Source organism: Homo sapiens, chromosome 7, assembly GCF_000001405.40.
Source record: "Homo sapiens chromosome 7, GRCh38.p14 Primary Assembly".
Lineage (NCBI taxonomy): Eukaryota > Metazoa > Chordata > Mammalia > Primates > Hominidae > Homo > Homo sapiens.
In genome coordinates, this window is record NC_000007.14 from 155,465,375 (window position 1) to 155,477,668 (window position 12,294).

General features: G+C 52.3%; 4 annotated features.

Moving 5' to 3' along the window:
- Positions 4,230-4,425: a silencer, noted in NCBI's record as "fragment chr7:155262299-155262494 (GRCh37/hg19 assembly coordinates)". NCBI's record gives its function as "represses an EF-1alpha promoter that drives an FKBP-Casp9 reporter gene in an ReSE screen in phorbol 12-myristate 13-acetate-treated (for megakaryocytic differentiation) K562 erythroleukemia cells {active_cell/tissue: K562(+PMA)}" and the evidence as "EXISTENCE:reporter gene assay evidence [ECO:0000049][PMID:32094911]".
- Positions 5,585-6,784: an enhancer, noted in NCBI's record as "BRD4-independent group 4 enhancer chr7:155263654-155264853 (GRCh37/hg19 assembly coordinates)". NCBI's record gives its function as "activates an origin of replication core promoter dependent on BRD2, P300/CBP, MED14 and CDK7 cofactors, and independent of BRD4, by STARR-seq in HCT116 cells {active_cell/tissue: HCT116}" and the evidence as "EXISTENCE:reporter gene assay evidence [ECO:0000049][PMID:35650434]".
- Positions 5,585-7,740: a biological region, named in NCBI's record as "VISTA enhancer hs1418".
- Positions 5,978-7,740: an enhancer, noted in NCBI's record as "VISTA enhancer hs1418". NCBI's record gives its function as "enhancer in: hindbrain (rhombencephalon)[4/5] | midbrain (mesencephalon)[4/5]" and the evidence as "EXISTENCE:transgenic organism evidence [ECO:0001131][PMID:17130149]".

The following is a 12,294-nucleotide window of genomic DNA, read 5'->3' on the forward strand; positions in this document are numbered from 1 at the left end:
GTGTTTGGGGTCTTTGAGCGAGTGATCTACGCGTTGAATTGCTGTTTTTCCAAACTTTCATGGCTTAAAAATTTTTTTTCTTCTCCCTGTAAAAGAAACTCAGAGACTGGTGATCTGTTACCGAAGACGACTTTTTAGGCGTTTTCTGTTTCCCCAGGCAGCTGGGCCGTTGGCGTTCCCAGGCGGAAGCGGGGCCTCTGGGCTGGGCCTCTGCCCTGCCAGGAAGCGGTCTGGGGGCTGCCCCTCGGGATTTTCAGAACCCTGGAAGGAGAGAGCTGGGGTCTCACCGCGGAGACTCCCGAGTTCTCGTTGCCTGGGCCCGAGCTGCGCCCCAGGGTCATCGCTGATGGCGCGAGACCACGCATTCCCCGCGAACCCCGACTTCTGAACAGTTCAGAAAGTTCGTAGATTAAAAACCAAACAAAAAATACTGGCACAACTTCTATTGCCGTATTGGCCTCTCTCTTATTTTAATAAAAATACGGTAACATGAAGCGATCATTTTTTTAAAAATCTGTTTTCAAAGTATAACACTGAAAAGGGGCAAGGCACAGCTTTGTAAGGTAATGAGTTCCCCGTCCTCAGAGGTGTTCAAGCAGACGCTAGGCTTACAGTGGCATGGAGAGTGTTCTTTCTCTTTGGAACTGGATGAGTCCTCAGACCCTTGAAACGCTGAGTTTTTTTTTTTTTTTTTACTCCTATGTTTATTACATTTTAATCCAACAGCATATAATCTAAGCTGCTCCCTCATGGAGAGCCGCGGCTGTGCCACCTGCCTGCTTTCGCCATGGAGACCGGAGTCAGGCCTGCAGGGAAGTCGGTGCGCCTTTCCCAAGTCCTCTGCCCGCTGGTTCCTCTCGGGCCTCCCGGGCTCTGCGTGCCGCGGATCTGGACCCGGACTGCAGACACCGCCCCACGACTGGGCCCCCGGCCAGACTGTTACCCCACAGGAGGAGGGTTCCCTAAGTGTGCAGAAGAGGAAAGCTCATTTATAAAGTCCTTGCTCCTTCGAGCTGAACGACCCCCGCGCCCGAGGCCTAGCTGTGTCCCCGCCGGGCCCAGGCTGAGCTTACTCCACACTGCTCCATAGCCGGGCAGAGACTCCGCGAGGGTCTGGGAGTCCTGGCCTCGGAGGACCCGCCGCCCTGCAGGCCTGCCCAAGCAGGCGCCCCCGCGAGAGTGCGGGACAGAGAGGGCCTGGCGGGGCTCCTTGGCGCTGAGAGCCCTCCTTCTCCGCTGCACCCAGCTCTGCCAACGGGGCTGGATGAGTGGGGGCTGGAGTCAGAATCCCAGGGTCTACACCCGCCGACAGCAGCAATGCCGACCCGCCCTGCCTTTCTCCTAAGGAGCGGAGGGAAGGAGCCATGTGAATGACCCCAGCCTGACCACCAAGAGGGCGCCAGCATTTCTGTTTTCCTAGAGTGAAAAGGTCAAATCGATGGGGGCTCCTACACCGCTGGACACAGGTGCGCCCGGGCGTCCAGTGCGCGCAACACACGCCCAGACACTCTATATGCAAATATGCCTGCCGCCGCGGAGCCGGCCGGGAGGCAGCGTTTGTTCGCTGGGGTTCTGCTAGAAGTCATTCTGTCTCCCGCTGGTTTAATATCCGCCCTCTGCGGTCTCCGCTCGCCTCGGCGGCTCCCGAAGCGCCCCCGGGAGGGTCCCGGCTCCGCCGAAAACTGCAGCCTGCCAGGCTGAGCCGCCGCGCGCTGGGAGGTTAATAGCGACTGACGACAAAGGGCCAAGGTGCAATTCCTAAAGCGGGGATTCGCCGGGTGAGGCAGAAATCAGCCTCCGGGGAGATGGGTCCCCCCTTCCCGACGCGCCCCTGCACACACTGCTGCCCCGGCGCCGGGCCTCCGGGCGGGGACCCCTCTTCCGGGCATCGCGGCCCCATTCGGCGGAGAGCTAGGCCCTCTCCAGGCCTCCAAGTAGGGAGCGGACGTGGGTGGTGGGGAAGGGAAGCCGCCGGCGGGACGGAGAGTGGGGTCCCCCGGACCCTGGGTCGGGCAGGCCTGGCGCTGGCAGCTCTGTTGCACAGATTTGTGAGCGATGCTGGTGGCCGCATTGCCGCGCGGCGCGAACCCCAAGTAGACCATTCATGTTTTTATTAATAATCTCAAACACTTCATTATATTTATGCTGCCTGCCCAGAGAAAATAAAAGGCCATTCTTGAAATCGCCTGAAATGTAATAATATTCATTAAAGCGCCTCCTAATTATGTGATTTAATCAAGCGTGGTGCGCCCGCGCTCTCGGCTCTCGCTGGAAAGGCTGGCGATGACGGTTATTATTACTGCTGTTGTTAGTGGCCTCGTGATAGCAGCCGGCCAGCTCTTCAGTCCAGGCCCAGTTTCCTCAGAGAGACTCGGGGAGCCCCACTTTGAGGGATGGGGTTCCCCGGAACGACTCCGAAGTCCCGGAGACCAGGCGCGGCCCAGGCCCTCTGCCCTTCTCCAGCCCCAGCCCCAGCCCCAGCCCCAGCCCCGGGCAAACTCTTCCAGGCCGAGGGCAGGACTTTCTCCAGACCCTTGGGGCCCTCTGTGTCCCCTGGGGACGCCCGACCCGGCTTTCTAGGAGGGGGAACTCCGGGTCCTGAGCCCGGGCCCCGCCCCGTTGGCTGTTCCGCCCCCTCCAGGGCTGAGCCCCGCGCAATGCCCGAAGCAGAAACAAAGAGTCGCCGAGATCTGCCTCCTGGGCCGCCTTTTCACCCCCTCAGCCTGGAAGGCGTCCCAGAGAGGCCCCACCCCCAGCCTCCACGGAGACCCAGGAGGGAAGAAGAGCCGGGACCCGGTAGCCCTGAGGGGCTGCCGGGCCTGCGGCGCTTTCTCCGCCGCAGAGGGGTTGGGTGGGAGACGCAGGCGGGAAGGACCCTGTCCCAGCCGAGAGTCCTCTGTGGGGTCGAGGAATGGTGAGGATCACTGTTTGCACCAACCGTCTGGAAGAAACCGGGCGGCCAGCCGCTCGACCCCATCTGTCGAGATGTGAAACTTGGCCGCGCGGTCCGGGCGCGCGCTGCCTGCGCGGAAGGAGCCGCCTCCCTCCTTTCAGCGAACGCATTCGGGGTTCCCCCCTCCCGCCAAGTCCTTTGTCTGGAAGGGGACTGGCAGGCTCTGTCGTCGCCGTGTGCCCCCCTCCTTTCCCCAGCCTCTACCCCCTCCAACTAACTTTCCTTTCTTCCCTTCTCTTTTCTTCCCTCTCTGGATGGGTAATCACAGGCTCCGCTGCCAAGCGCGCTGCGAGGAGCCGCTGCCCGTTCCCGTCGGTGCCCCTCCCCGCGGCAGCCTGGCCGAGTCCGCCCAGCCTGCCTAGGACGTCCCTGACCCGCGCGCTCAGTTTCATTCAGTGGCCGTGGGATGTTGCATCTGAGTTTTTCCTTTAGGCCAAAACTTTGTCCCGAGGTTTTTCTGAGAGGGTTTTATTCTCCAACAGCAACAACAACATGCGAATTCTTAAAACTAGTATTTATTTCGATTCAGGCAGTCAGGGAAATGGCAGAATCACCAGCCGTTTGCAGAATTCTACGCTCGCCAAGGCAAGTACTATTAGTATATTTTCTCCCAACGTTTTCGTTGTAAAATACACATGACAAAATTTGCCCTCTTAACCATTTTAAGTGTACACTTCAGTGGCATTAAATAAACCCACAGTGCTGTGCAACATCGCCACCATGCATTTCCAGAACTCGTTTTATATTGTAAAACTGAAGCTCTGTACCCATGAACACTACGTCCCCATCTCCCCACCCAGCCCCTGCCACCCACCATTCCACATTCCTTCTCTATAACTGACTGTTCTGAGTGCCTCATACAAAGCTCTTACTATGTGACTGCAAGTAAGGTTCCCCAGTAAGTCATGTCCATTATAACACAGAGGCTGCCACGGTCAGCCTCACCATGCCTTCTAATGCTCGTGAAAGTTGAGAAACTCCCAGTCACCCAAATGAATGGTGGAAAGACAGGAGCCTGCCTGCAAAGAAAGCTTTAGGTTGAGCTCTTCAGATGCCCAGGGATTTGCTGTGGCACACAGGCTTAGGACAGTTTGGGTTCTGTGTTTTTCATGCAAATACTTCTGTAGCATCACTTAGCACTGAAAGAAGTGTGGTTCGGTGGAAAGCATAGAATTTTGAAATGACACAGCCCTGTGTTCAAATCACAGCTTGACTGTTCACTAAGTCCTCCAGAGTCCAGCCATTCTCCTCTTTCTCAGAAAGTTCATCTACCTAATGAGTTTCTGGTGAGATTGTTTTGGGAGGTGATGAACGCAGCACCTGGCATAGAACAGAGAGGGGATGGGGAGGCGAAACTCTCCCAGGTGAGCCTCTGCACCCCCCAGCAGTGGCACCCTCCACAGCCCAGGTGCGGTTTTCAGTAGGGCCCTTACACCTTCTTGCTTTTCCCAGCCAATGAGGCATCCACGCTGCTGCTTAGGAGTAGGGGAAAGGATGTAATGCACGCGAGAGGCAGTGTCCACACCGTGAGAAAAAAGTGGGACGGTGGCAGGAGGTGCGGGAGAGTGGGACAGGATTCTGCCCATGAAGCCCAGGATGCTGGAGGATGCTGGCCAGCACTTCCAGGAACAGAACCTTCCTGCTCTTTGGAAACTGCTGTGTGAGTGCTTGTTTGTTGCAGGGCTCAAACACGCAAAATCTTCATTTCAAGATTTTTTTCTCCACACTTGTCTTGACCCCCAAATAAGCAAGGTGTTCTGCCATGGGTTTCTATAGACACCCAGTACTTTACACACCACTCTCTTTTCCATTGCAAGTTATAATGGCCACGCTAAGCAGAATCCCATCATGATGAGAAGGATCTGGCTCAAAGCACAGACAGGAGTGCTTCCCATCTCCAGGCACCAAACTAGGCAAGAGGGCAACGGGCAAAGCCAGCCTTGCCTGTGTGTCGGTCAGTGCACGCCCCACGCACCTTGCCACCCCAACCCAGCTCTTCCTCCAAGAACGAGTGGGCGTCCTAATGGTGGGACGATCTATTTTGTCTAAATAGCGAAGAGTCTCAGTAACCCTTTTAAATTAATTGCTGTTCCTATAGCTAAAAGCATAACAGGCTTTGATTACATGCTAAATAGAATGAAACATAATCCTGAGTTAATTACATGGAGATAATTTTATAATTATATCATTCAATTTAAGAACCAATGTGTTGCTAACCTCCAACTTTAACAGGAGTGATTATTCAAAATAAAAACAGTCACAAATCTGAACCTTTTGAAGGACCCAGCAGAGCCATCTTCTCCTTTCCCTCAAGTGGCAGAGAACGCGCATCACTCAGCCATCCATCGTCCGTCCCCTACCTGCAAGTCCTCCCTCCGAAAAAGTGAAAACACTGGAAACTCCCAGAGGAAAGGGGCTGTCTGCGGAGAGCATTTCCCAGCATCAACCTGCCCTCATCCACTGGAGTAGCCAATCTGCATTTCTGTGCTGCCCAGCTTGTATGTGGAAGTAATGTCCTAGGGTCCCTGACTCCAGGAGCCCCAGGCAGGATGCTCTGGTCTCTCATCAGGTATGAATGGAGTCTGTGGCCAGGAGCTGGGGTGAAGGTCAAAGCCCCAACCACCTCTACAGGTGGCTCACTTCCTGTCCCAAATATTAGTGCCCTTGGATGGGAGTGGCCACTACATCTAGCAGGACCAGGACTGGTAATCAATTTGTACCTGCAACTCTCTGTCGTAGTGTCCCCCACCCCCACCCACTAAGCTATAAAGGAAGAGGCTTTTGGTGGCCCCCTCAGGTGAGGTAGCTTTAGCAGGTGCTACTCCGGGGCCACTCTAGGCCTATTGCCATGACGGGCCTTCCTTTCTGAATGAAGGCCAGAACATCAGGTCTGGATGGAGAGTTAAATGTTCTGATTCTTTTAAAGGTGATCAAAGACCAGCCGGGCCCATTGCCCCTGGGAACTCAGTGAGCCTTAGAATTTATTTTAGTGACTGCATACTGCCTCAGAGTAGGCGATTCCACCAGTGACTCATCACTCGCAGAGAGAAAAACATCTTTTATATGTAGAGACGGGAACGCGCCCTGTGGATTCAGAGCCCCAAGGAAACAAAAACAGCACGTCAGAGGAAGAATGTCATACAAACCCGCTGGAGTCACAAGGCAAAACAGCCCCCATACCTAAACGCCCGGCGTGACAATGGCCTTTGTGCCTGGCGCCGTCGGGGGGAGCTGGGCGCCTAGCGGGTGGGGCAGGCGGAAGTTGGACACATTTCCACGCAGGTGAGGCCATCCATGGGGTGATGCGGGTGTTGGGGCTCGCTGCTTTCGCTCCATGAAGATTTGCAGCCCCCCCCAGCCAACCCACCCCATCCCTTCCCCCCACAAGGGTATTTCATCCACACTGTTTTTTAAATGCTTCCTAGTCAAACTTGAATATGCAATGAGACGCGGGAGCTTTGTGGCGGAAATATAATTAAACTGGGGAAAGATGTAAAAGCTGAAGAATGGGATGACATCAGGCTGATTTCACACTCGGCAGTCGGATCGCTGGGCCCAAGCCGCGCTCTTGCCACGCAAGGCAGATCAAAGTGCCCTGCCACCGCTAAAAAGGCAAAAGGGGACTTAAGTATGCTAATCCCCAGGACAAATATATTTTAATCTTGTTAGAATACAAGTTAATGCTGCAGCTCAGTGGCTGAACTTGGTCAGACTGTAGAGATCCATTTTTATTTTAGCTATGAATGAGCTAGACCTCTTGGTTTATTCATCGGTAATAAAAGTAAATTTACAAAACGAACCCCTCTTTGGGCTGTGTCACCCCCACCTTGAGCTCTCCTTACTGGGGACTGGGGAATTCCAGAGGCTTCCAAGATGGGAGCATCCCTAACACCATCCATCCTTCTCCGACCTGTCCCCTTCTGTAGAGCATCCTGATGGCCGAGGAAGGAACTCTGCTCACGCAGCAGAGAAGAAACAGGGAAACTCAAAAATTAATTAAAAGATTCTCCAAAGCAATCTGTTTCCCTTTAGGCTTGTGGTTTGACAACCAAACCAATTCCTTTCTGTCAGCCCTCTCACTTTAATTTTTGCAATGTCAATTTTCATTACTATTAATTATTTGCCAAGCTCCAACTGTACATTTGGCATTGCTCTGATGAGCAAGAAGCTCTCAGGTTCCTCCCTCTTTAAGTGTCGATTCCTGGAAGATATGAATATGCAAGTTTCTGCGTGTGTGTACATGTAAAATATTGGGCACACATAGAAGAAGAAATGTCAGCCTGTAGAGCTCCCCTTGAAATAAAACCACTGTGGTAAAATATTAAGCAGAACCACGGATATATCTGCACAGAGGAATGTGTGTGTGTGTGTGTGTGTGTGTGAGAGAGAGAGAGAGAGAGAGAGAGAGAGAGAGAGAGAGCGAGCCAGCCAGCGAGCCAGCACTTAACTGTAAGGTTACAGAAGGTTAAACGGCCCTGCAGAGCCTGCCTGCTAAATATTGCTGATGGCAGCCGCGTCTAAAAGGCAATTTCTGTCTTTCTGCTCTAGCGTGTGTTAGAATTCCCTCTGCCTCAGGCAGAAAACCTGACTCCCACTAAAGTGTGCTGCACAGCCCTGCATTCCAAAGCCTGTCTGTGCCCTTCCGGCTCCCTGGCCTCAGCAGGGGGGGCGGGTGCAGGAGGCTATGCGCGCACACACAGTCCCCCAGGCAGGCCAGGCAACTGGCAGCCCGAGGGGAGGGGCAGCTGGCAGCAGTATCCCCCTCCCCCACAGAGAGCTTGGAAGGTTGGGAGGAATCCACCCACCCCTGACTGTCCCTGGTTTCCAGGACTCGGGAATGTCCATCCCTGCCATATTTTTGTCTGTGTGGGAAGCAGACACACTGTCACTACTGTAAGCACACAATTGATAAACGGTGAGTTTCCAAATTCCCGGGAAGAAAAGCTGGACAAAGACCCTAGAAGGGAAGTGTCTCCCATATTCGTGTTTCTCCTAATCCCTTCAGTGTTCTGCCCTTTAGCTGTAGCCAGCTTAGTGCACACTCTAGCACTTCCGTTGCAGTTCGTGTTCTGGAAGTCACATTTCCCAGGCATTGGTGTAATGTCTCTTCCTGTCTCAAATAATAATAACACCCAATGTTGATTGAGTTCCTACTAGGTCTCAGTGTAGGAGTTTCTGAGGGCGGCCGTAACAGTAGCACACACTGAGAGGTTCACACGACAGAAGTCTATTCTCCGAGTCCTGGAGGCTAGAAGGCCAAAATCAAGGTGTCAGCTGGGCTCTCTCTGAAGGCTGCAGGGGAGACCCTTCTCGCCTCTTCCTGGCTTTTTGTGAAGGCTGGCAACCCCTCACTCCAATCTCTGTCTTTGCTGTCACACGGCCTTCTGCCCTGTGTCTGTACCCAAATTTCCCTTTGCTTATAAGGACACCAGTTACATTAGATTTGGGCCCCCCTTAATTCTGTGTGACCTCCTCTGATCACATCTGTATGGCCCTATTTCCAAATAAGGTTCCGTTCACATATTCCCAGGACATTAATGTGGGAGTACACTGTTCTACCCAGGACAGCCAATACTCACCATTGTATGTGGGTTATCTTCAGTCACTCTCATAATGCACCCCACCAGGTGGCTACTGGTCTTAACACCGTTTTACGGGGGAGAGGACTGAGGTCAGGGAAGGGAAGCTATCCGGGCTGGCCAGGGTGTGTGGGGCTGTGTGAGCTCTTATTTGCTGTGTGGCATTGCTCTCCGCGACCTTGGCTGGTTTACATCACCAGCAACATAATCCTGACTTGGTTTAGGCCTGGCCAGACTGCATGTGTGTGTCCCCAGGGAGACGCTGTCCCCCAGCACCGACGACATGCATGTGAACTTGCCTCGTAATCTGCAAGGGTGAAGCAAACACCGATGGCACTGGTGTCATGCCTGCTGTGCCTTTTCCTCTCTGGGCCTTGGTTTCCTCATCTGAAACCTGCAGATAATAGAATTAACTTGAAAGCCTGCAGTGACAATCACATGAGAGAGTGCCCATGGGCACTGGGATCCCGCCTGGTGTACAGTGAGCACTCAGTAAGTGTCTGCCAGGGCTGGCTGTGATTTTCCAACTGCAGACATAGCAAATAATGAACTCGTATGTGCTATCCTTTGGTTGTTTCAGTTCCCTGTAAGTCCCGGCTCCCTCCTCCTCTCTCCTGGAGATCTGAGGCTCTGCAGCAGCCTGATGCCACCCTCAGGGCTCTGGAACCAGCAGGCCAGAGGGAGACACCACGCAGCCTGCCACCGCTCCTTACCTGCTGTGCCTTGGTTTCCTCTATGCTAGATGGGGGAATTAATCTGCCTCAGAGGACTGTTGAACTTAGACACGTAACAAGCCCGGCACAGAATAAATGCTCAGTCAAAGGCAGTGACCGTTCTTACGGAGGCAGGAGCCAACGGGGATCCTCCTTGCCCACTGCAGGTCATGCCATCTCAGGGTTCCCTTGGGTGCTCTGCATTGCACGTGCCCAGTAAGGTGCTGAGACCATGGAGAGCACTCACGCACTCATTAGCACGGAGCCGTTACTGTTGCTGCTAGTATTACTGCTTGGCTGACTTCTCATGCGAGGGAATCTGGTTCCCATAGAGCAGACCCATAAGGTCTAGAGCTGAACTTCTCAAAGTGGAAGCTAAAGAACTTTTTATGAGGCTGGGAAATACAGGAACATAAAACTGAAAATGACTGGACACATAATCTTGCATCAAATCAAACATCGTGTTGTTTTCAGCGGAGAGCCAAGGCAGGTGTTCGATTATAATATTTGGGGAAAAGCTAAGGATGGAGCCCTCCCTTTCCCAGCTTCTTCAGTGGCCCCAGGAGCACATCTGTAGTGGAGACAAGCTGCAGGGCCCTCCCTTGTCTGGGGCTTTGCCTGGCCTCTGTCTTCATCTCTTTCTGGGCTCCACCAAGCCTTGGCCTCAGGGTGCTGAGAGACCAGGGATGCAATACGCTTGCCTCCATCAAAGGGGCACCAATAACAACAATCGTGTGCATCTGCCAGGTGCTCAGGAGCAGGATGCGCTGTGCCAGGCACTTCACAGGTCACCTCACTTGCCGCTCACAAAATCCGGTGAGGTGAGTCCTGGGACTAGTACAGGACAGTCCTAGGGAGGTATTGAGAGGGTGAGCCAGCCATCCAAACCCACAGAGCTGAGATCTATCCCTCCCCAAGTCACTGCATTTTAGAGAGAGTCACTGAGTGGGCAGGGGAGGCACTAATCCCAAGGAGTAGCTAGTCCACGATGGAAACGCAGGCATCGGCACACAAGGACAAGTATTTGGTGAAGAGGACTGTGGCATGGAGTGTGCTCCCCAGACATTCCATCTGCACCTGCCTGTTTCCCAGCCTCCTTTGTCGTTAGGTTGAGGACATCAGCTTAGTACTGACCAATGGTCTGGGAGCAAAAGTGACCCCATAGCACCCTTTGGTCCAAAGCTCTTAAGAGTGGATGTGGTTCTCCATGTCCTTTTTCTTTCCCTGCCTTTACAACTCTGGATGCCTCAAGTTAGATGATGCGGTCAGGACACTGAAGTGCACATTTCCTTGATCCTTGCATGACTGTGTGGAGCAGAGTGCCTCCAACTCACTTTGGACACATACAGCTAGGTCAATGAGATGTTGCAGTTAACTTAGAGCACCAAAGGCCAGCTCACTCTGGCCATACATGACCTACCTGGAACCCTGCACAACACGACAAGGTGACAACAGCCTGGCCCTCCTGACACTAGGGCCAGCCCCTGTCCTGAGAGAAGAGAGATGGCCTCCTTGTCCTGACTCTTTATATTTATATTCTTATTCTTTCCCACTTCTTGCTCTATGTGCCTAAACCTAGACCAGAGGGGGAAGATTATGTTTTGGACATCATGCCCAAATTGTTCCCTTTATGATAATGACTGGTTCCCATTGTTATAACTACTCAATGTTCAATTAGGAAATGGCGAGATGGCTCATCTGAAAATTTTTCTTGAGGGCTGAGAATGTAAAGCTGAGAATGAGTTAAATGCTACATCACGTTTTCCTGGTATGTGTTACATCTGCTGCTGCGTTAAAGCCGTTTGAGTGATTCCACACACCCTTCCCTCACTCAGGGTTCTGATGTGACACTGTTTGAACATGTTGACTTTAGCACCATTCTTGCAATGTCCTTGATATCGTAAAAAGCAAACGCTCATGCAGTTCAGTGCTTTTCCAGTGCCTCCCTCCACTGCCCATGGAAGGTGGTGATTCTGGGTGACACTTGCCTAACTCAAATACATTTATATCTTCATCTCTACTCACTTAGTAGGAGAAAGTCCTATATTTGTGCGGACTTGTATGACCCCTCCACTCAAAAATATAAAGTGTGCACACACTACGGTATACCATAAGCAGTGAGATGTTTTTTTCCTTGTTTTTCAGTGTTCATTGACCTACATTTGGAGTTTCATATTTGCTAGTATAGAGATAGAAGGTGGTGGAGAAACAGGCTGCCCTGCACAGTTGAGCAGGTTGTTCACTGCACAGAGCAGCCCGCTGAGGTGGTTGAGTTAAAACCCAGCTTAGATTCTGTTTGCTAAGCTTTGTGTTCTGGCATAGGGTGGCATCCACTTCAGGAAGCACAAAGGCACCACCCACTCACCAAGGTGTTACTGCCAAAAGAGGGAGAATTCCCCTAATTTGTACAAAGACATGAGTGGGTTCCAGTAGCCTGGTAGAGAGGGGCCAAGGGAGTACAGAAAAAGGGGGTGGAGAAGAGGCAGTGACTACAGTATCAAGACAGGAGTGCCAGCACCTTATTTTTATTTAAAAACAAGATGAAACTCAAAAACAAAAAAACCTCAACAGTCACAAAAACAAACAGCCACTGCCAAGGTCTCTTGAAAATTAGGCTTGTTTTCATGTACAGCGCACAGAGGCAGGCAGACCTCATTTTCTTGTAGCCCACTTTATCGTGCTTCACAGAGAGTGCGTTTTTGCAAATTGAAGGTTTGTGGCAACCCTGTGTCAAGCAAGTCTATCAGCACCATTTTCCCAATAGCACATGCTCGCTTTTGTCCTGTGTCACGCTTTGGTAATTTTCACAATATTTCAAACCTTGTCATTATTATGATATCTCTCATGGTGATCTGTGATCAGTGATCTTTGATGTTATTCTTGGAATTGTCGTGGGGTGCCATGAACGGCACCATATAAGATGATGAACTTAATGGATAAACGTTGTGTGTGTTCTGACTGCTCCACTGATTGGCCGTTTCTGGTCTCCCTCCCTCTCCTGGGGCCTCCCCATTCCCTGAGACACAAAAACAATGTTGGGTTTCAACAA